The 24,859-nt window shown below is 37.3% G+C and overlaps 1 protein-coding gene and 1 pseudogene across 8 annotated transcripts in view; one reads left to right on the forward strand and one right to left on the reverse strand.

Annotated features, from left to right (window-relative positions):
* Positions 1 to 24,859, reverse strand: part of ZBTB20 (zinc finger and BTB domain containing 20) — an 832,789-nt gene that overhangs the window by 595,157 nt on the left and 212,773 nt on the right. The gene's annotated exons all lie outside the window — the stretch shown is intronic.
* Positions 20,917 to 21,992, forward strand: YBX1P3 (Y-box binding protein 1 pseudogene 3; annotated as a pseudogene).

Below are 24,859 nucleotides of genomic sequence, written 5' to 3' on the forward strand. Positions count from 1 at the left end.
CAATAGGCCATACCATCTACGTTTATCTAAGTACACTCTATGATGCTCACACAATGATGAAATCACCTAACAATGCATTTCTCAGAATGTATCCCTGTCATTACGAGATGCATGACTATATATCAAAACTCATGCAATGCAGCTAAACAGTCTTAGGGAGCAAAGTACAACTTTAAGTTAATATGCTAAAAAGAAAAGACAAGACTAAAATTATCAAGACATTAGAAAAGTTACAAAAAAGTAAAACCAAAAAATGTAAAAGCTGAAACGTAACAATAATACTGAGCATAAGGGAAATGAAAAACAAAAATGTAAAGACAGTCAACAAAATTAAGTGTTGCTTTTTTTAAATGACTAATAAAGTAGAAAAATCTCTGGGAATTTTTATTATAAAAAAGAAGATAGAAATAAAATTAAAAAGAAAAAACAAATCTATTTGGACATTTAAGTGATTACTGAATACTATGAAATACTTTATGCTAATTTGACTTAAATGTTCAAGTTATTTTACAAGTGAAATAATATGAACAATTTTGTAGAAAAATATAACTTGCCTAAGAAGAACTAGAAACTCTGATTCGACAATTATAAAGATATCACATATGTGGTTAGAAATTTATATAAACATACACACACACATGCACGCGTGCACACACACACACACACACACACACATTACCAGGCCCAAATATATTTAAATATAAAATTTAATAAACCTTTAAAAATCTGTTGAGGTCTATGTGATAAAAATTGGACCATAGAAAACAGGAAAGCACCTCAACTCTTGTATAAGGCCCTTGAACACTGATATCAAACCCAGATAAAGGTATTATGAGAAAGAAAAATTATTTACAATGGTGAGGATTTAGAAGAGGTACAAGCTAGCCAAAAGACACTCAGAAAAAGAAAAGTAACAATAGCTATTATTTATTTAGCTACTACTAAGTGTTTGATAAGAGTTTTGCATATATTATTTAATCTGTATATCAGCCATATAAGTGGTTTTATTTTCATTATTATCACAATTGTATAAATAAAATGATGCTCAAAAAAAATAAATGGGCTCAAAGTCATAAAATTAATAAGTAGCAGCAGTTGATAGAGGGAGACTCTAAAGACCATGTACTTAAACACTGCCTTGTACTATTTACTCATCTTTCTTAATTATGTTCACAGAGGACATTATGCTGTCTCCCTAACACTTCACCCAATTTTAAATAAAGCATAATTTTTGGTTTTTAGCAGCTTTACTATGATGTTCCCAAGTGTTGTTTTCTTCACGTTTATTGTGTTTAGAGTTCACTAAGCTTCATGTCTTTCACAAAATTTGGGAATTTTTAACCTTTCTTCTTAAAGTCTTTAAATATTTTCTCTGTCCTATTCTTGTTCTTCAATACCCTACATGAGAGAACAGGAGGTCCCTCAGACATATACCCCCACAGCAATAAAAATTTTCTAGTTATCCCAAAAAAAAAAGTGCCCTAGTTGAAACTTTGGGGCTCAAGTAGGGGGTTGTGAACACTAGTGACACCCAAGACCTAAGAAGGCCATTTTGAGAGGGTAGAATCAAGCCCACATGACAGACTTGCCAATGATGGTCCCAGCTTCAGACATGGAAATAGCTCCAACATCCTGTATCAAAAACATCGACAAAGGGGCCTGGAAGAAGTCATGCACACTAATGCCTCAGGTGACAGTCATTTGTCTTGGCTGAGGATCCTAAAAGGGAGCTCCCACTTAGCTCCAGTTCCTCTTGGCTGCTCTCTCAGAGCAGTCCTGCCAGCACAGGGAAAAAGAACTCAAAATAATGATTTTCAATAAGTCCAATGAGATGTAGAAAACACAAATAAACCACAAAATATAATTAGGAAAATAATTCATTAAAAAATTAGTTTAGTTTAAATATTATATTCCATAAAAAAAGGACCAAACAGATACCCTATAGCTGAAAAGTATGAAGACAGAAGTGAAAAATTCAATACAGGGCTTCAACAGCAGACTCAATCATACAGAAAAAGAATTGATGAACATGATGACAGGTAATTTGAAATTACCCACCTAGAGGAACAACAAGAAAAAGACTGAAAAAGCATGATGAAAGTATGAGGAACCTATGGGACAATACCAAGTGTACAAAAATATGAATTAGGAATTCCCAGAGAAGACAGACAGAGTAAGAGGACAAAAACTAATATAAAGAAATACTAGCAGAAAAGTTCCCAAATCCTGGGAGGCATATGGACATTCAGATTCAAGCAGCATAAAGGCTTCCAAGAGAGATCCCAAACAGGAATGCTCTAAGACATATTATAACCAAATTGTCAAAAGTGAAAGACAAAGAGAGATCTTGAAAGTAGTGAAAGAAAAGAGCCTTGTTCCATATAAGTGAACATCCAAAAGACAATCAGTAGATTTCTCAAGAAAAACCTTGTAAACCAGGAGGGAATGGAATAATAGATTCAAAGTGCTAAAAGAAAAAAAAAAAAAAACCTGCCAAATAAAACAGTATATCCACAAAAGCTGTCCTTCAAAAATGAAGGAGGGATAATAACATAACCAGACAAAGGAAAACTGAGGGAGGTCATCACAAGACTTAGAAGAAATGCTAAAGAAAGCTCTTGGAGTGGAAATAAAAGGATACTAGATGATAAAATAAAATTATATGAAAGAATAAAACTTACTGGTAAAAATAAACATATAGTCAAAATCAGAATACTCTAATACTGAAATGGTAATACGCACATCACTTTTTAATAGGGTTATTTGTCTCCTTATTATTTGTTATTAGGTATACTTTTAAACTTTTTATTTTAATATTTTTGGAACACAGTAAGTATATATATTTATGGGGTACATGAGATATTTTGATATAGGCACATAATGCCTAATAATCACATAAAGGCAAATGGAGTATCCATCACCTCAAGCATTTATGCTTTGTGTTACAAAGAATCCAACTACACTCTTTTAGTTATTTTAAAATATACAATTAAATTATTTTTGACTAGTCACCCTGTTGGGTGATCAAATACTAGATCTTACTCCTTCTTTCTAGCTATCGTTTTGTACTCATTAACCATCCCCACTTCCCCGGCTCCTACTCCCCAGTTACCCTTCCCAACCTCTGGTAACTGTCATTCTACTCTCTATCTCCGTGAGCTCAATTGTTTTAATTTTTAGCTCCCAGAAATATGTGACAACATGTTAAGTTTGTCTTTCTGTGCCTCACTGACACACAAAAAAGAATGACAGAACCTCATTCTTTTTTAAGGCTGAATACTACTCCATTGCATATATGGGCCATATTTTCTTTATCCATTCTTTTGTTAATGGACACTTAGGTTGCTACCAAATCTTAGCTATTTTAACTAGTGCTGCAATAAACATGAAAGTGCATATATATCTTCAATATACTGATTTCCTTTGTTTTGGGTATATACCTAGCAGTCAGATTGCTGGACCATATGGTAGATCTGTTTTTAGTTTTCTGAAGAACCTCCAGGCTGTTCTCCATAGTACTTATACTTATTTACATTTCCGCCAACAGTGTACAAAGATTCTCTTTTCTCCATATCCTCACCACCACCCATTATTGCTTGTCTTTTGGATGTAAGTCATTTTAACGGGAGTTAGATGATATCTCATTGTAGTTTTGATTTGCATTTCTCTGATGATCAATGATGTTGAGCACTTTTTCATATACCAGTTTGCGATTTGTATGTCTTCTTGTGAGAAAAGTCTATTCAAATCTTTTCCCCATTTTTTATTTGGATTATTGGATTATTTTGTATATAGTTGTCTGAACTCCTTATATATTCTGGTTGTTAATCACTGTCAGATGGACATTTTGCAAACACTTTCTCTCATTCTGTGGGTTGTCTCTTCACTTTGTTGATGGTTTCCTTTGCTGTGCAGAAGCTTTTTAGTTTGATGTGATCCCATATGTCCATTTTTGCTTTGGTTGCTTGTGCTTATGGGGTATTAAGAAATATTTGCCCAGTCAAATGTCCTGGAAAGTTTCCTCAGTGTTTTTTTTTTCAGTAGTGTCATAGTTTGAGGTATTAGACTTAAGTCTTTAATTCATGTTGATTTCATTTTTGTATATAATGAGAGAGAAGGGTCTAGTTTCAGTCTTCTGCATGTGGGTATTCAGTTTTCCCAGCACCATTTATTGAAGAGACTGCCCTTTCCCCAATGTATGTTCTTGCCACCTGTGTTGAAAATGAGTTCACTGTAAACGTATGAATTTGCTTCTGGGTTCTCTATTCTGTTCCATTGCTATATACACTGTTGGTATGCCAGTACCATGCTCTTTTGGTTACTATAGCCCTGTAGTATAATTTGAACTCAGGTGATATTCCTAGTTTTGTTCTTTTTGCTCAGGATATCTTTGGCTATTGTGGGTCTTTTGTGGTTTCCTATAAATTTTATAATTGTGTTTTCTATTTCTGTGAAGAATGTAATTGGTATTTTGATAGAGATTACATTGAATCTGTAGACTGCCTTGGGTAGTATGGGCATTTTAACAATGTTGATCCTTCCAATTCATGAACATGGAATATCTTTCCATTTTTTTGTGTGTCCCTTTCAATATCTTGCAACAATCTTTTATAGTTTTTATTGTAGAGATCTTTCTCTTCTTCAGTTATTTCCTAGGTATTTAATTTTATCTGTAGCTATTATAAATTGAATTACTTTTTAAATTTCTTTTTCAGATTATTCACCATTGACACATAAAAATGTCACTGACTTTTGTATGTTGACTTTGTATCCTGCAAATTTACTGAATTTATTGATCAGTTCTAATAGTTTTCTGGTGAAGTCTTCAAATATAAGATCATCTCATCTCCCAACAAGGAAAATTTGACTTATTGCTTTCCAGTTTGGATGAGCATTATTTCTTTCTCTTCTCTAATTGTACTACTATGACTTCTAGTTTTATGTTGAATAACAGTGATGAAAGTGAGCATCCTTGTCATGTTCCAGATCTTAGGGTAAAGGCTTTCAGTTTTTCCCCACTCAGCATGATACTAGCTGTGGGTCTGTTGTATGTGGCTTTTATTATGTTGAGATATGTTACTTCGATATCCAGTTTTTTGAGGGTTTTTTTTTTATCATGAGGGGATACTGAATCTTAACAAATGTTTTTTTCCAGCATCAACTGAAATAATCATATGGTTCTTGTCCTTCATTCTGTTGATATGTGGTATTATATTGATTGATTTGCATGTGTTGAATAATCATTGAGGCCTGGGATAAATTCCACTTGGTCATGATGATCCTAATGTGTTGTTGAATTTGGGTTACTAGTATTTGCTTATGGATTTTTACATCAATGTTCATCAGGGATATTGGCCTGTGGTTTTCTTTGTTTTCTTTTCTTTTTTTTTTTAAATGTGTCTTTGGTTTTGGTATTAGGATGATACTGGCCTCACAGAAGATGGACACATTCCCTCCTCTTCTATTTTTCAGAATAGTTTGAGTAGAATTGGCATTAGTTCTTTAAATGTTTGGTAAAATTCAGCAGTAAAGCGATCAGGTCCCAGGGTTTCCTTTGCTGAAGGACTTTTTATTACAGCTACCATCTCATTACTTATTACTGGTCTGTTCAGGTATTGGAATTCATGGTTCAATCCTGGTAGGTTGTATATGTCTAGGAATTTACTCATTTCTTCTAGGTTTTCCAATTTATTTACATGTATTAATAGTTGCTTATAGTAGCTTCTAATGGTCTTTTGAATTTCTGTAGTATCAATTGTAAGGTAACCTTTTTCAATTTTGATTTTATTTATTTGGGTCTTCTATCTTTTTTTCTGTCAATTTTGTTTATCTTTTCAAAATGTCTGTCAATTTTGTTTATCTTTTCAAAAAACCAACTTTTCATTTCACTGATCTTTTGTATTATTTTCTTCATTTCAACTGCATTTATTTCTGCACTGATCTTTATTATTTATTTAATTCTACCGATTTTGGGTTTGGTTTACTCTTGCTTCTCTAGTTCTCTAAGATGCATTGTTGGTTTTTTTATTGAAAGTTTTTCTACTTTCTTGATGTAGGCACTTGTCACTACAAATTTCCCTCTTAGTTTTGATATGTTCTGTTTCCATTATCATTTATTTCAAAAAACTTTTAAAATTTCCTTCATAATTTCTTCATTGACCAACTGATCACTCAGGAGTACACTGTTTAATTTCCATGTGTCTGTATAGTTTCCACAATTCTTCATTATTAATTTCTAGTTTTATTCCATGGTGATCAGAGAAGATATTTGATATTATTTCAAATTTTTGAATATTTTAAAGCTTGTTTTGTAGTCTTAGGTATCCTTGAGAATGATCCATATGCTGATGACAAAAATGCGTATTTTGCAGCCGTTGGATGAAATGTTATGTAAATATGTATTAGGTTCATTCAGTCTATGGTGCAGATTAAGTCCAATGTTTCTTTGCTGATTTTCTGTATGGATGATCTGTTCATTGCTGAAAGTGGGATGTTGATGTCTTCAGCTATTACTGTACTGGGGTCTATCTCTCTGTTAAGCTCTGATAATATTTGCTTTATATATCTGGGTGCTCCAGTGTTGGGTGTATATTTATTTACAGTTGTTATATCCTCTTGCTAAACTGACCCCTTTATAATTACATAGTGACCTTCTTTATCTCTTCTTGTAGTTTTTGTCTTGAAATCTGTATTGTATGATATCAGTATATTTCAAGTATACTTCCAAATATGATTACAGTATTATAATGTTGTTTTTCTATGTACATATTACGTACATACCAGTAGTATTATGTACTATGTAATAGTAATAATATTTTTACTGTTACTGCAAGTTTTGTACCTTCAGATGATTTCTTATTGCTCATTAACATCCCTTTCTTTCTAATTGAAGTACTCCATTTAGCATTTCCTGTAGAACAGGTCTGATATTGATGAAATCCCTCAGCTTTTATTTGTCTGGGAAAGTCTTTATTTCTCCCTCATGTTTGAAGGACATTTCACCAGGTATACTATTATAGGGTAAGAGTTTATTCCTTCAGCACTTTAAATATGTCATGCTACTTTTTCCTGGGCTGTAAGGTTTCCACTGAAGAGTCTGATGCCAGATGCTCTGTTGTATGTTATTTGTTTCTTTTCTCTTTCTACTTTTAGAATCCTTTTCCTTATATTTGACCTTTTGGGAATTTGACTATTAAATGCTTTGAGATAGTCTTCTTTAGGTTAAATCTGCTTGGTGTTCTTTAACCTTCTTGTGCTTGAATAATTATATCTTTCTCTAGGCTTGTGAAGTTCTCTAATACCGTCCTCAGAACAAACTTTCTACCTCTACCTCTCTCTTTACCTCACTTTTAAGACCAATAACTGTTGCCCTGTTGAGTATCTTGTAGGCATGCTTCATTCTTTTTTATTCTGTCCTTTTGTCTCCTAAATATGTTTTCAAACAGTCCTTCTTCAAGCTCACTAATTCTTTCTTCTGTTTGATCAATTCTCCCGTTAAGAGGCTGCTGCATTCTTCAGGGTGTCAACTGCATTTTTCACCTCCAGAATTTCTGTTTGATTCTTAAAAATTGTGTCAATCTATTTGTTAAATTTGTCTGATAGGATTCTGAATTCCTTCTCTATGCTATCTTGAATTTTATTGAGTTTCCTCAATAATTCTGTCTAAAAGGTCACGTTATCTCTGTGTTTCTGAGATTGATCCTTGGTGCCTTATTTAGATTGCTTGATGAGGTCATGTCTTCCTGGATGGTCTTGATGCTTGTGGATGTCTGTTAATGTCTACACAGTGAAGAAGTAGGTATTTATTGTAGTCTTGGCAGTCTGGACTTGTTTGTACCCACCCTTCTTGGGGAAGCATTCTAGGTATTCAAAGGGACTTGTTTATTGTGACTAAATTTTTGGTCAATGCAGCTGTGTCTACATTGGGGGCACTCCAGGGTCAGTTACACTGAGGCTCTTACAGACTCATAGAATTACCATATTGGTGGTCTTGTACAAGATCTGGAAGAATTCTCTGGATTACTAGGCAGAGACTTTTGTTCTCTTCCATTACTTTCTCCCAAACAGAGTCTCTCTGTGTGAGTGTGCTTAGCTGCCTGGTGCTGGGCTGGGAGAGACATAATACAAGTTCCCCTGTGGCCATCACCACTGAGACTGTGCTGGGTCTGACCTGAGGCCAGCACAGCACTGGGTCTTGCAGAAGGCCCACTATAACCACTATTTGGCTGCTGCCTACATTCACTCAAGGCCCTGGGGTTCTACAATTATCAGTTACCAACACCAGCCACATCTGTGTCCTTTTTTTCATGGCACCGAATGCCCCCGGCCCCAGATGGTTCCAGAGAGGCCCTCTAAGATCCAGGGCCTGGAGTAAGAAACCTTAAGAATCTACCTGGTGCTCCATTCTACTGCAGCTGAGCTGGCACGCAAGCCACAAGACAAGTCTTTTCCACAAGCACAGAAGTCTCTTCTCTTGGACACCACTGCCACAGGCCCATGGGGAGTACTAACAAGCTACTGTCAATGTTCATTCAAGACCCAAAGGTTCTTCAGTCAGCTTGTGGTGAATGCTGCCAGGCCTGGGACTCATCCTTCCATGTGGTGAGCTCCCCTCTAGCCTAGGGAAACTCCCCAAATGCCATTCAAGAACCAAGTCCTGGATTCAGGAACCCCAAGAGCCCACTTCCTGCTCTACAACACTATGGCCAAGCTAGCATCTAAGCTGCAAGACAAAGTCCCCTTTTCTCTCCCATCTGTTTTTCTCAAGCAGAAGTAGTCTCTCCCTGTAGCCACCACAGCTGGGAATGTTCTGGATCACACCTGAAGCCAGCATGTTTCAGAGTCTCACTCAATGCCCATGACATGTACTGCCTGGATATTGCTGCTGATTAGGAAAGGCCCAAAGGCTCTTTAGTCAGCAGGTGATGAATCCTGCCAGGGCTGGGTCCTTCTCTTCAAGGCAGCACATTCCCTTCTAGCCCAGAGTATATCTAGAAATGTTATCTGGAAGCTAGTGCCTAAAGTGGGTGCTTCAAGACTCTACTTGGTGCCCTATCCTACTGTGGCTGAGTGGGATCCAAGTTGCAAGACAAAGTCCTGTTTACTCTTCACTCCTCTCCTCAAGTGGAATAAAGGAGTCTCTTTCAGAGCTACCAATTGCATTGCTTGGTGTCAGAGGAGGGGTGGCAGAAGCCCTCCCTTGGCCACCCTGTCTGGTGTCTCACTAGGTCATATGACCCCTGCATCCACTGGCTCCAAGCCTAGCAGAGCACTAGGACTTGCCTAGGAGTTGCAGTCCTTGTGGCTCAGACTGCCTTAAAGTTTATTTAGGACCCCAGAGAATTTTAGCCCATAGTGGTGAAGTTTGTTGATACTTGAGTTCCAACCACTGGGATGGACAATTTCTCTCTTGTAAATCCCTTTTAAGCCTAATATAAAAGATAAAAGACAAAAAATATCAAAAACAACTATAGCTAGAATATTTGTTAATGGATACACAATATAAAAAGGTATAAAATGTTATATCAATAAAGTGGGGGCCTGGGGGAAAAGCAAGATACAGAGTTTTTATATGCAATGGAAATTAAGTTGTTATCAGTTTAAATTTGATGGTTGTCATTACAAGGTGTGTTATATATGCCTCAAGGTGACCACAGGAAAAAACCTCTAGTAGACACAAAAAATAGAGACATGAATCAAAGCAAAAATTGAATAAAATACAAAAGAAGACAGCAAGATTGGAAGAAAGAAACAAAAGAACTACAAAACAGGCCAGGCATGGTGGCTCATGCCTGTAATCCCAGCACTTTGGGAGGCCAAGGGGAGTGAATCATGAGGTCAGGAGTTCGAGACCATCCTGGCCAAGTTCGTGAAACCCCGTCTCTACTAAAAATACAAAATTAGCCGGGTGCGGTGGCAGGTACCTGCAATCCCAGCTACTCGGGAGGCTGAGGCAGGAGAATCACTTGAACCCGGGAGGCAGAGTTTGCAGTGAGCCAAGATTGTACCACTGCACTCTAGCCTGGGTGACAGAGCAAGACTCCATCTCAAAAAAAAAAAAGAACTACAAAACAGTCAGTAAACAATTAACAAATGGCAATAGTAAGTCCTTATTTGTCAATAATTACTTTAAATGTAAATGGATTAAATTCTCCAATCAAAATACAAAGAGTGGCTCAACAGAAAACAAATATGTAAAATCCAACAATATGCTGCCTATAAGAGGCTCACTTTAGCTGAAAGGATACAGAGCCAAAAAGTGAAGACATGAGAAAAGATATTCCATTCAAATGATAACCAAAAGAGAATAGGAGTGGTTATAGTTATATCAGACAAAATAGACTATCAGTCAAAATCTATCAGAAGACACAAAGAAGGTCATTAAATGATAATAAAGTGGTCAATTCATTAAGAGGATATAAAAAATTGCACATATACATGCACTCAACATTAGAGAATCTAAATATATAAATTAAATGTTAACAGAACAGAAGGGAAAAATAGACACCAGTATAATAATAGTAAAAGATTTCAATATTCCACTTTCAAAAATGGATAGATCATATAGACAGCAAATCACCAGGGAAACAGTGGTCTTTAAAAGTACTACAGACCAAATAGACCTACAGACATATATAGAACATTCTATCCAACAGCAGTAGAATATACATTTTTCTCAAGTGCACATGGAACAGTCTCCAAATAGATCAGATGTTGGGCCACAGAACAAATCTTAACAAATTTAGAAAAAACTAAAATTATCTCAAGTATCTTTTCTGACTACATTATAAAATTAGAAATCAATCAAAGGAGAAATTAAAAATGAAAAAATAAAAGTGGAAAAATCACAAACATGTGGCAATTAAATAATACACTTCTTAACAGCCAATGTGTAAAAGAAGAAATCAAAACCAAAATCTTGCATATCTTTAAACAAATGAAAATGGGCACACAACAAGAGGGAAGGACATAACAATGAATGCCTACATTAATAAAAGAAGAAAAATCTCAAACAACTTAACTTCACACCTCAAAAAATTAAAAAAAGAACAAAGTGCACAAAGTCAGCAGTAATAAGGATATATTAAAAATTAGACCAGAAATAAATGAAATAGAAAATAGAAAAATAATAGAAAAGATCAGTAAACCTAAGAGTTCGTTTTTTGAAGACAGATAAATCTTTAGCTAGATTACCCAAGGAAAAAAAGAAAGAAGACTCGAATTTAAAATTTTGTAATGGAAAATGGACAATTAAAATGATAGAACAGAAACACACAGGATTATAAAAAGACTACATTAAACAATTACATTCCAACAGATTAGATAACTTAGTAAAAAATAAGTTCCTAGAAACATATAAGATGCAAAGACTGCATCATAAATAATAAAATTCGGAACAGATTAATAGCAAGTAAGGAGATTGAATCAGTAATAAAAAATTCTCCCATCAAAGAAAAGCCCAGGACTAGATGTCTTTTATTTTTTGAGACAAAGTCTTGCTCTGTCACCCAGGCTGCAGTGCAATGGTGTGACCTTGGCTCACTGCAACCTCCATCTCCTGAGTTCAAGTGATTCTCCTGCTTCAGCTTCCCAAGTAGCTGGGATTACAGGCACCCACCACTACACCCAGCTAGTTTTTGTATTTTTAGTAGAGATGGGGTTTCACTGTGTTGGCCAGGCTGGTCTCAACCTCCAGAATTCAAGTGATCTGCATGTCTCAGCCTCCCAAATTGCTGGGATTACAGGTGTGAGCCACCGTGCCTGGCAAAAGAACTAGATGTCTTGATGAGCGGATTCTACCAAGCTTTAAAAAATTAATGCCCATCCCTCTCAAACAGTTCCAAAATGTTTACAAGAATGACACACTTCCTAACTCATTTCAAGGCCAGCATTGCCCTCATACCAAAGCTGGATAAGAGTGCTTTATGGATATACACCATCAGCAAGCTATCGCAAGGACAAAAAACCAAACACCGCATGTCCTCACTCATAGGTGGGAATTGAACAATGAGAACACTTGGACACAGGAAGGGGAACATCACACACCAGAGCCTGTTTTGGGGTGGGGGGAGGGGGGAGGGATAGCATTAGGAGATATACCTAATGTAAATGATGAGTTAATGGGTGCAGCACACCAACATGGCACATGCATGCATATGTAACAAACCTGCACGTTGTGCACATGTACCCTAGAACTTAAAGTATAATAAATATACACATATATATATATAAAGAGTGCTACAAGAAAAGAAAATTACAGAGCAATATCTTAGATGAATATAGATACAAAAGTCTTCAACAAAGTACCACCAAACCAAATTCAACAGCACATTAAAAGGATCATACACCATGATCAGGTGGGATTTATCTCTGGGATGCAAGGATGGTTCAACATACACAAATCAATAAATGTGATACATCACATTAACACAATGAAGGATAACAGTGCGGGAAAAGCACCTGACAAAAATCAATGCTTTCTTGATAAAAAGCCTCAACAAATTTGGTACAGAAGGAACGTACCTCAACATAATAAAGATCAAATATGGCAATCCCATAGAAAACATCATACTCAGTGGTGAAAAGCTGAAAGCATTTCCTCTAAGATTAGGAATGAAAAAGCATACTCACTCTCACTATTTCTATTAAACATAGTATTGGAATTCTTAGCCAGAGCAATTAGGCAAGAAAAAAATTGGAAAGGAAGAAGTTAAATGGTCTCTGTTTATAGATGACATAATCTTATATGTAGAAAAACCCTGAAGACTGCAGCAAAAAAAGAAAAAAAAACCTGTTGAAACGATATATGAACCCAATAGTTTCAGGATACAATGTAACATACAAAAATTAGTTGCAGTTCCCTACATTAATAAAGAACTCTCTAAGAAATTAAGAAAAAGATCCATCTTAGTCTGTGGGCATTGCTTATTACCTAAGGCTGGGTAATTTATAAAGAGAAAAAGTTTTTTTGGCTCATGGCTTTTCCGGATGTACAAGAAGCATGGCACCAGCTCCTGGTGAGAGCTCAGGCTGCTTCCACTCATGGCAGAAGGTAAAGTGAAGCCAGTGTGTGGAGATTACAAGGCAAGAGAGAAAGAAGAGAGAGCTGCCAGGCTCTTTATAACAATCGGCTCTCATGGGAACCAATAGAGAAAGAAATCACTCAATACATCAAGACATCAAGAAGGACATCAAACCACTTATGAGGAAACTACCCCCACGATCAAACACCTCTCATTAGGCCTGATAGCTAACATTGGGATCAAATTTCAACATGAGGTTTGTGGGGACAGATATCCAAATTATAAAACGATTCCACTTACAATAGTATCAAATACAATAACATACTAAGAAATAAATTTAACCAAGTTGATGAAGAATTGGTACACTGAAAACTCTTAGACACTGATGAAAGAAACTGAAGACAAAAACAAGTGTAAAAATATTGCACGTTCGTGAATTGAAAGAATTGCTATTTTTAAAATGCCCATGCTACCTAAAGCATTTTCAGATTCAATGCAATCTATCAATATTATAATGATATTTTTTACAGAAATAGACAAAACAATCCTGAAATTTGTTTGGAACCACAAAAGATCACAGATAGCCATAGCAATCTTGAAAAGGAACAAAGCTGGAGGCATCACACTCTGTGATTTCAATTTGTCTTACGAAGCTACAGTAATCAAAATAGTTTGGTACCAGCATAAAAACAGACACTTAGGTCAATGGAATAGAATTGAGAGCCCAGAAATAAATGCACACTTGTATGGTTAACTAATCTTTGGCAAGGGCACCAACTATACACAATAAGGAAAGGAAATTCTCTTCAATAAGTGGTTTTGGGGAAACTGGATACTCAAATGCAAAAGAATAAGACTGGATCCTTGTCTTGCACTGTACACAAAAATTAACTCAAAATGAATTAAAGATTTAAATTTTTAATTTAAAAATGTAAGATCCAAAACTGTAAAACAAAGCTCCTTGACATTGGTCTTGGCAAAGAGTTTTTGGATATTGACACGAAAAGCACAGGTAACAAAAGCAAAAATAAAAAAAAGTAGAACTACACCAAACTAAAAACCTTTTTCACAGCAAAGGAAACAAAAACTGAGAAGGCAACCTACTGAATGGGAGAAAACATTTGCAACTATATATCTGATGAAGGGTTGATATTCAGAATGTATGTAGAACTCACACAACTCAATGGCAAAAAAAAATAATAACAATAACTCAATTTAAAAATAGGAAAAAGGCCTGAATAGACATTTTTCCAAAGAAGGCATACAAATGGGCAAGAAGTATATTAAAAAGTGCTCAACATCAATAATCATCAGGGAAATGCACATCAAAACTACAGTGAGATATCACCTCATGCCTGTCAGAAGGGCTAAGAGATAAATATCTGCAAGAATGTGGAGAAACGAAAACACTTGTCCACTGTAGGTGGGAATGTAAATTGGTATAGCCATTATGGAAAACAGTATGGAGTTTCCTAAAAAAATTTAAAATAGAATAATTATATGATCCAGCAAGCCCACTTCTGGGTTTATATCCAAAGGAAATGAAATCAGTATCTTTAAGAGATATCTGTACCCTCATAATTATTGCAGCATTATTCATAATACCCAAAAGATGGAAACTACCTAAGTATCCATCAATGGGTAAAGCGGATAAATGAATAAAGAAAATGTGGTACATATACACAATGAAATATTATTTTGCCATAAAAATAATCAAACCTGTCATTTTCAACAACATGAATGAATCTGTAAGACATTATACTAAGTAAAATAAGCAAGATATAGAAAGACAAATAGTCTGTGATCTCACTTACATGAAATCTTATAAAAAGGTGAATCTCATTGCAACAGAAAGACTGATGATTGCCAGGGGATGGTGGTGGAGAAAATAAGGAGATGTTGATTAAAGGGTACAACATTTCAGTTATAAGTTGAACAAGTTCCAGGGATCTAATGTACAGAATGGGTGGTGAAGAATGTGTGAATTAACTTGATTGTGATAATCACTGAGAAATGTATGCATAAAACAATCACAATGCACACTTTCACTATATACAATCTTTGTCAATTAAATATTTTTAAATAAAAAATAAATAAAATTGTACTTCCGGTTTTTGAGATACTGCTTATTTTTTATCCACTCTTTTTTCTCACTCCTTTTTAGATTAGATAATTTCTATTGATCTATCTTTAAGTTCAATGACTTTTCCTTCAACCCCTCCTCCATTATACTGTTAATCCTACTAATTTATTTATTTAATATAATACATTTCTCTGTTTTAAAATTCCCATTTGGTTCTTCTTTTTTTTTTTTTTTTTTTTTTTAGATGAAGTCTTGCTCTGTCGCCAGGATGGAGTGCAGTGGCGCAATCTCGGCTCACTGCAACCTCTGCCTCCTGGGTTCAAGCAATTCTCCTGCCTCAGCCTCCCTAGTAGCTGGAATTACAGGCACATGCCACCACACCCAGCTAATTTTTGTATTTTTAGTAGAGATGGGGTTTCACCACGTTAGCCAGGATGGTCTCGATCTCTTGACCCTGTGATCCGCCCCCTCAGCCTCCCAAAGTGCTGAGATTACAGGTGTGAGCCACCGCACCTGGCCAATTTGGTTCTTTTAATAATTTCTTATTTCTCTGCTGAGATTTCCTATCTTTTTGTTCATTTCAACCATATTCCCTTTCATCTCTTAAAGCGCAGTTTTAATACCTGCTTTAATTTTTTTGCCTAGTAATTCCAACATGTGGGTGATTTTAAGATTGTCATCTGTTGATTTTCTTTATCCTTAAGAAAGGGTAACATTTTACTGGGTTGAAGTAATTATGGGGTTTTTATTTGTTTGGTTGTTTGTTTTTGTTTTGTTTTGTCTTGAGACGGAGTCTTGCTCTGTTGCCAGGCTGGAGTGCAGTGGCACGATCTTGGTTCACTGCAACCTCTGCCTCCTGGGTTCACACAATTCTCCTGCCTCAGCCTCCCGAGCAGCTGGGACTACAGGCGCCCGCCACCACACCTGGCTAAATTTTTGTATTTTTAGTAGAGACGGGGTTTCACCATGTTAGCCAGGATGATCTCAATCTCCCGACCTCGTGATCTGCCCACCTTGGCCTCCCAAAGTGCTGGGATTACAGGTGTGAGCCACTGTGCCTGGCCAATTATGGGTTTTAACTTAGACATCGTCAATGTTAATTGTGGATACTCCAGACTTGGAGTCCTTAACTTGGACAATGTGTTACATTGAGCCAAAGAGTGCTAATATCTTTGTTCTCATGGGACATTAATTTGGCTAATCTCATATTGAAAAATTTGTGCTTTTTGGATCTCAGTGTGGACTGATTTCAGTCTGCCCTGTGCATGTGCAGTTCAGGGGTCAGACAAAGACTTAAGACAGAATTTATACACACAATATCCCATCTCTGTCTCTTTACTTTCCTATGTTTTTCCTCATTCTCTGACATCCCCGTTCCTTCCCAGAGTTCCTACAGCCTACAGAGAAAGCAAGGGCTTTCTCTTGGAGTTAAATTGTCCCATGTTGCCACTGCAATTGGAGATGCCCTCAGAAAAAGCCTCAGAAATGTGAAACTCACTTCATCTCATGACATTTGCTTAATACAAAGTTTGAACCTCCTCTAATATTTCTCTAGTCTTATCCATTCTCCAAAACCTTTACAGAGTTGTATTGTGTTTTGTTATGCTTTGCTTTTATTTTTGGTTTTTGTCCAGAGTTTATAGCTACTATCTGCAGGCTGGTTGTTTTTTTGGAAGTTTATTTCTCCACACAAGAAGCAAAACTCTTGTATTATTACTAATCCTGAGAACAGAAGGTTACAGAGAAACAGAAAACAGAAGGCTTTAAAAAAGTACCAAGAGATACAAATAAAAATTGAATAAAAAACAAACAAACAAAAAACTAGAAAAATGTCTCCTGCTTCTAGGAGAGGGCTGAACAAAGGCAGATGAAGAGGCAATAAAGTAGGTAATAAGTACATTTACAGAAATATATGCCATCAAATAGGTAAGAATGCAAGTAAAATTTATATATAACAAATACCCAAAAGTTTTGGAAGCAGAAAAAATGTTAGTCAATAGTTCATATTGTCTAACAATCAATCTGTCACCCAGGCTTTGTCACCCAGGCTGGAATGCAGTGACGTGATCATAGCTCACTGAAATTTCAAACACTATCCTCCTGAGTAGCTGGGACTACAGGCATACACCACCACATCTGGCTAATTTTCTATTTTATTTTTTGTAGACATACGGTCTCACTATGTTGCCCAGACTGGTCTTGAACTTCTGGGGGCTCAATCAATCCTCCCTGCTTGGCCTCCCAAAGTGCTGGGATTATAGTGTGAAAGGAAAATAAATCTTGGGGCCCAAAATCACTAAGCTAAAGGGAAAAGTCAAGCTGGGGACTGCTTAGGGCAAACCTGCTTCCCATTCTATTCAAAGTCATCCCTCTGCTCACTAAGATAAATGCATATCTCATTGCCTCTTTGTCAAGGCTAATCAGAAACTCAAGAATGCAACCATTTGTTTCTAATCTACCAATGGCCTGGAAGCCCCCTCCCACTTTGAGTTGTCCTGCTTTTGCTTCAAGTTGTCCTGCCCTTACGAACCGAACCAATGTTCATCTTACATATGTTGATTGATGTCTCATGCCTCCCTAAAATGTATAAAACCAAGTTATGCTCCGACTGTCTTGGGCACATGTTATCAAAACCTCCTGAGACTGTGTCATGGGCATGTGTCCTTAACGTTGACAAAATAAACTTCCTAAATTGACTGAGACCTGTCTCAGATTTTTTAGTTTCACAACAGGCATGAGCCACCATACCTGGCCTCAAAAGTTTCAAAACCAACACTCTTCATCAGATCCCAGAACCAAAGAAGGAAAAAACAATTGAAGAATTTATGTCCACAGTTATGCCAAGATTTACACTAATGCATACCACATCTCAAAGATTGAAGAACTCTCTCAAGAACTGGCAATAATTAAGTTTCCAACCAAATTATATTTTCTAAATTAAAAATAAGCACACATCCAAGTGTAAAATTTAAAAAAACCTGAAGCTAAAGCACATTCACCTTATAGATAAAAATATAGTCCATACCTCTCTATTTTATAAATGCATTTTCAGACTTGATGCATTATAGGACATGGTAACTTCAAACAGCAAGGAAAAAACTCTTATTTAAAACTCAGTAAGAATATAATCTCTGTAAGAAAATTATCATTTTAAATAATTTCATTAAACTGTTTTCTCCTTTGATATACCCCTGGATGTAACACTATTAGGTTATAGTGAAAAACACCCTCAATTAACTCTCAAAAAGTATGGTTCCACCATTAAGCTACTATGAGACTTTGGACAGGTCCCTTCACCTATCTAGGCTTCAGTTTACTCATGTGAAATGTGAGGCTAGAACATATGGTTTCTGCTTTCCAGGTGTAAAATTCTATAACTACATAACTTTATCCCTTCGTTTCATGCAGTTTTATCTCCGTCTTCCACTTCTGTGTCTTCCTGGCTGGAGTAGCTTTATCTGTCGTCTGAGGCATCCGGGGCACACCCCATCATTTCAGGCTTAGCCGTTTCTAAGTCGAAGGCTGCAGTCACTGAGGGCAGCCTCAAGGTTCTTCAATGATGGAGAACCTCAAGGTTCTTCAATGATGGAGAACCTCAAGGTTCTTCAATGATGGAGAACCTCAAGGTTCTTCAATGATGGAGAACCTCAAGGTTCTTCAATGATGGAGAACCTCAAGGTTCTTCAATGATGGAGAACCTCAAGGTTCTTCAATGATGGAAAGATTCTTGTTTAATTTCTAAAAAATAAATTTGGCAAATTCCTCAGATCTCAGGCCCAAAGAAAATATTTCAGGAGAGATACATTATGCCTTTCACGCAAGTGCAAAAAAATTAAAAATGTAGACTCCCACACACAATCTCAAGCAAATCATCAACTGACATCTGATGTTGTCTTACCTACAGAGTTAAGAAGCTTGTTTACATCTGTACTTCAGGTGAGTGAGATAATTTTGTGAATGGTAGGTTAAAAGTAATTTCAAATTTGAGAATTAAGCAATGAGAAATGTGCTGTAAATTTCAAGAAAAAGATGCTGCAATACTGTTTAGGATTCTGAGAACTTTAGATCTATCTTCTTATAAAAACTTCCACTTAGAAACAAAGAAATAAACAAAAACCAGGATAAACAATACAATGCTCTTTCCAACTTGCTGGAATTACATTCACTCAGATAAACATTTATTAAGCACTTAGTTGGTACAAGGTGTACTGTCCTCTGTGAGACACACACTCATAGAAAAGAATTTTGTATCTGCTTTAGTGAGTTTATAATATGCCAGAATAAATACATACTAAAAGGCATATATACATAAATAATATAATGCATTGCAGGAAGAGGTAAGTACTATGATAGAGGGACACAGAAAGTCCTGTGCCTCAGGCCTTGCTCCCTGCAGGGCACTAAGCTATTTCGAATCACACTGCAGGAGGTGGCCAACTACACAGTATGCAGTGCATCAGTGCTATCCAGGGAAGAAAAGACTACTACATGGTTAAGAGAGCCTGAAAAAACAGAAGCAGAGAGGTGGACCTAGAAAACTAGCAGTCGGTTGAAGGTCAATATGTTCCTACCTGGAAAATAGGGTCCAACTACTGGGCAGAAGGCCAGGACCCAAGGGTGATTCTGTGCAACTGGGGGAGGTGAGAAAGGAGAGAAAGGAAGTGAGTATTCTGCTGTGGGAAGAAGGGAATTCCAAGATGACAACACAGCAAGAGCTTAACTATAGATGAAGGAATTCTGAATTTCTTCTAGTTTCCCATCTCATGATCATGTCAATATAAAAGGAAATTACTATAAAATGTAATAATTTCTACCAGTCTACAGATTCTGGCAGGCTAAATTAAACCTGAAGATAAGGACAAAATTACATTCCAGTTCCTACTTACAACTTCTATCACATAAAGAGGTACTTACATAGTTCATATGTGCAAACTGAGTTGCATGCTTTCTAAATCGTTTTATTTAATTGTGAAATGTTTGGAATTGGGTGTCACTGGTCTTCATTTTGTTTTGAAAAGGCAATATAAGTGAATTAATCTATCATCAGGCTAATAACAAGAATAAGTATTTTAACTCCTTCCTTTGAAATGAAAAGACAAATTCTTTAGCCAAGAGCTTCCAAGTTTAATTTACGATTCACAAAATTCTACAAACATAAATTATATAGTAGAAGTTTCCCTTATTCTTACTTGAATATAACTCTAATCATTTGAATATCAGTTTTAACAAAATGAATAAGAGTACAACAGAGTTCAGATGAAGCTCGTTTCTTGCCAAAATCCATATGAATGCCAAATACCTTCCAAGCACAAATAAATCCTGCCTTCCATTTAAACAAACAAACAAACAAACAACAAACAAAACACCACATTGCCTAAGATTGGGCAATCACTACTAAGTGACTACTAAGTAGTGAGTAAGAGCTAAGGGAAACGGAGCGAACTTTAGGTCACCAGGGCACGGTACACTGAAAAACATGTGCTGCGCTTCTTCAGAAACAAGCTACAACAGCAGAAAGACGAGGTACCTTATATCTTGTTTATAAATCTTACTTTATAAAGGAGAAAAAAATGAAAAAAGGGAAATAATATTCCCTTATATCCTATTTTGTGCTAGGCACTTAGACAATGTTTTATTATTTAATTGAAACTTGAGTTCAATCGGTAGCAGGAGCGGCGAGCGGAACCCAGAGAGCCCTGAGCAGCCCCACCACCGCCCCCGGCCTAGTTACAGTCACCCCAGAAGGAGCCACAACCCTGCAGCCAGCAGGTCACCATCACAGCAACCACAACCCTGAGCAAAGACGCCAAGGCAGCCAACCCCAAGCCGGCACCACCTGCAGCGGCGCAGGGAGCAGTGGCAAGGGCGACCTCACAGGCGGCGCCTGCTGATGGGGATAAGATCACCGCAAGGAAGATTTTGGGAACAGTAAAATGGTTCAATGTAAGAAATAAATGGTTTCATCTATGCGAATGGCACCAAGGAAGATGCAGTTGTACAGCAGAATACCATACAGAAGAGTAACCCCAGGAAGTACCTTAGCAGTGTAGGACACGGAGAGACTGTGGAGTTTGATGATGTTGCAGCAGAAAAGGGTGGGGAGGCAGTAAATGTTACAGGCCCCTGTAGAGTCCAGTTGATAGCAGTAAGTATGCAGCTGACCTTAACCATCATTGACGCTATCCATGTGGTCCTCAGGCAATTACCAGTAGAATTACCAGAATAGTGAGAGTGGAGAAAAGAACGAAGGACGGGAGAGTGCTCCCTTAGGCTCGGCCCAACAATGCCGGCCCTGCTGCAGGCGAAGGTTCCTGCCTTACTACAGGCAGAGACCCTACGGAAATTGACCACCATATTCTAACCCTCCTTGCAGGGAGCAGCGACGGAGGGTGCTAACAACTGGGGTGCAGGAGCACAAGGTAGGCCAGTGAGGCAGGATATTTGTATGGTTTATAGACCACGATTCCTCAGGGAACCTCATCGCCAAAGCCAGCCTAGAGAGGACGGCAGTGAAGAGAGTAAAGAAAATCAAGATGAGACCCAATATCAGCAGCGACCTCAACATCGGTGCTGCTAAAACCCCAATTATCTATGTAGACTCCCAGAAAACCCTAAACCACAACATGGCAAAGAGACAACAGCAGCCAGTCCACCAGTCAAGAATTCTGCACCCGAGGCAGAAGAAGGTTGAGTAAATGCCGGTTTACCATCTCCACCATCATCCAGTTTAATCATCCAACAAGAAGAAATGAATATGAAATTACAGCAATGAGAAATGCAGGAAAGAAATGCTGAAGACCTTAAGTGCTTGCTTTTTGCCCATTGATCAGAAACCAGAACTACCTGCATTATCTACGAAGCATGGGGTTTTTAAAATTATTTTTACCTACAGACATGTCTTTTTGGTAATAACAAAGGTTTTTATTGTTGTTGTTTTTGTGTGTTTTTTTTTTAGTTTGGTTTTTCTCAACATGCCTTTAAAAGCTTTTAAATTGGTTCATATGTCAAGTTGAGATTTTTAAGCACTTCACTTTTAATTTGTAATAAAAGTTTACAACTTGATTTTTTCAAAAATGTCAACCAACTGCAAGCACCCATTGAAAGTCTTAAATAATACAAAAACTTTAAATTAAATCAAATGGGTATTAACACCATATAATACAAAAAAGAAGTGAGGTTCGAAAATCCTTATGCTTTTGTGATGCCACACGTCACCTAACTGGTAGCACAACTTGATTGCAATCTGACTCTGAAGCTTTTCTTCATTCCTAGACATCCTATTTTTGTTGAAGTCCTAGATTTTAAAAGTATAATTTTTTTAGGAATAAAGATCTGGTAGGCAGGAAATTCTGCTGAAGCTGTTTCTGGGCAACTTGACTTTGCCAGGGCCTTTGCACTGATTGTGTTAATGGCCACCTCCTCTTCAGATGTAGGGTTATGGATCACCTGTAACCACCTGTAACCTGTACAGCAAGCTGAAGGAGTGTTTGCCTAATATCCAATCCACAGAATTTATTTCAAAAATGGTGAGCCTCACTAAGGTGATAGCAGTAGCCTGTCCACAGGCTGATCAACAAAATCTTGTCTTTGATCCATGGTTTCTGCTTCTTGGAGTCTCCCAAGGTACATTCTGCCACTGCTGGACCTAGAATCATAGTCTCCTTTCCTACCAGCCTTCTCACCCTGCCAAACTTATCATATACAATTGTTTGACATCACAGATATTATCAATCCCTAGGCCTCTCTAGCTTTCTGCTCTTGCAATTTCTTTTACATTGTCTTTGTCACCCAGCACAGAGCCCATACATAAGTCATCACTCTATTTTCTTAGAAATACTTTCAGTTCACTTCTTGGTTTTCCTATCTCACTTACCAAGCTGTCTTAGTACAGATCTAAGATGAGAATTTTAGTACAAATAATTTATTTTGGAAACAACCCCATGAAACACTGGTAAGGGAGAAAGGATGGAAGGCAGAAAAGGGAAATAAGATAGAATGTTTGCAAAGATAACCATCAATAGTTCCTCAAAGCCTTGCTCTAGCATGCTGCTCTTCCCATCAAGAGGCAGAGTTTGTTTCCCCCACTCTTGAATCTGCACTGACCTTGCACCCTTTTTTTGAACAATAGATTGCAGCAGAAGTGATGCTATGCTAGTTCTAAGCCAAGGCTGCAAGAGTCCTGGCAGCCTCTTCTTTTGCTTTCCTTAGATGCAGATACCATGTAAAGACGCTCAGACTAGATTAGTGAATGATGAGAAGCAATGGGGAGAGACAGGCCCAGACAGACCCCAGCCATTCTATACATTGCACTGAGGCCTAAAACCCATAAGTAAAGCCATCATAGTCATTCCTGACCCAGACAGGCTTCCAGTCAAGTGCAACTACATGAGTGACCCAAGCTATTACTAATCTAAGCCTGGGCACCCCAAAGATTTGTAAAAAATAACAAATCTTTGTTGTTTTAAGTCCCTGTATTTGGGGGTAGTTTGTTACACAGCCATAAATGAAACAGGGACAAAGCCAAAAAAGGGTACAATTATTAAACAAGTTACTGCTATGGGAAATGAGTTTAGTCCTTCTGGGATACTCTGGAAAACAGTAAAGAACATGCCTCACAGTTATCCCATGTGAAGGGTAAGGATGATAGTGTAATCCACCCACTTGCTAACAGTTATTTGCTTAAGTCTTTTTCTAGTGACAGTAACTATTTGGTACTTTAAGCCTGCCCAACACTGTGAGCCAAATCTGCTCAGCAGCCACACACAAAAAATGCCTTCAGGCAGACAGTCACAGTATCAGGAATAAGCAGTCTTCTGTGACAAGAGGTGAGTGGTGGAAGGAAACAGGAAGAGCGTCAACATAGGTGAAAACCCAGGCCTAGAGCAGTCCAGCTATCTGCTTTCTCCACTCCTAGAACTGCAACAGCTAAAGTGGGTCACATACACTCACAGATTATAACCACTACACATCTACAGCTCCCAAACTTAGCTGGGTCCCAAATGTTACTTAATAATCCTTCCAAGTTTCCCTAATCATCTGTTTACTTTAGTATATTTTACATCTATTTCAAAACTTCCCACTTTTATTAAATCTTCTATTCCACCTACCCCTCCCCCTTCGGTATCAGCAAAGCAATATGCTCTCTATCCCAATGAGAAAATAAAGGTCATCAGATCAATTTTTTGCTACCTCCATTGCACTGCATTCAGAATCATCCTTCCTTCCTTCCCTACTAATACCACAGGAAAGGGTCAAGGTAAATGCAGCATTAATCCAGCACCTCTCCATCTCTGGAATACCCCACCTTAGAATACAAGAACCCATTATGTACTTGCCCTTTTCTGTCTCTCTTAGGTCCCTAATGCATGAATCTCATCGAGTTATAGATCTGTTGAAACCCTACACCTATGGATCTTTGCACCAAGCATTGTTCCTACTGCCTAAAATGTACCTTCCCCAACTTTCCCCATTTCTAGACTCTGCCCTGGCAGAGTCCTCTTCATCTTTTAGACCTCCACTTACCTGCGACCTCTTCAGGAAAGCCTTCTTTACTTTGCTGCCCACGATTCCTCAAATCTATGCTTACCTCTGCCACAGCACTTTGCTCTTTTCTGAAATCGCTCATTCCTTTTTCTGATATCCTTTTCCTCCTCCTTTACCTCCCACTGAAAATAAGCTCCTCCAAATCAGGTATTTGCCTTATATATTTTTGAACCATAGTATCTGTGCCTAGAACATAGCTGTGGATTAACAA

Source organism: Homo sapiens, chromosome 3 (assembly GCF_000001405.40).
Source record: "Homo sapiens chromosome 3, GRCh38.p14 Primary Assembly".
Lineage (NCBI taxonomy): Eukaryota > Metazoa > Chordata > Mammalia > Primates > Hominidae > Homo > Homo sapiens.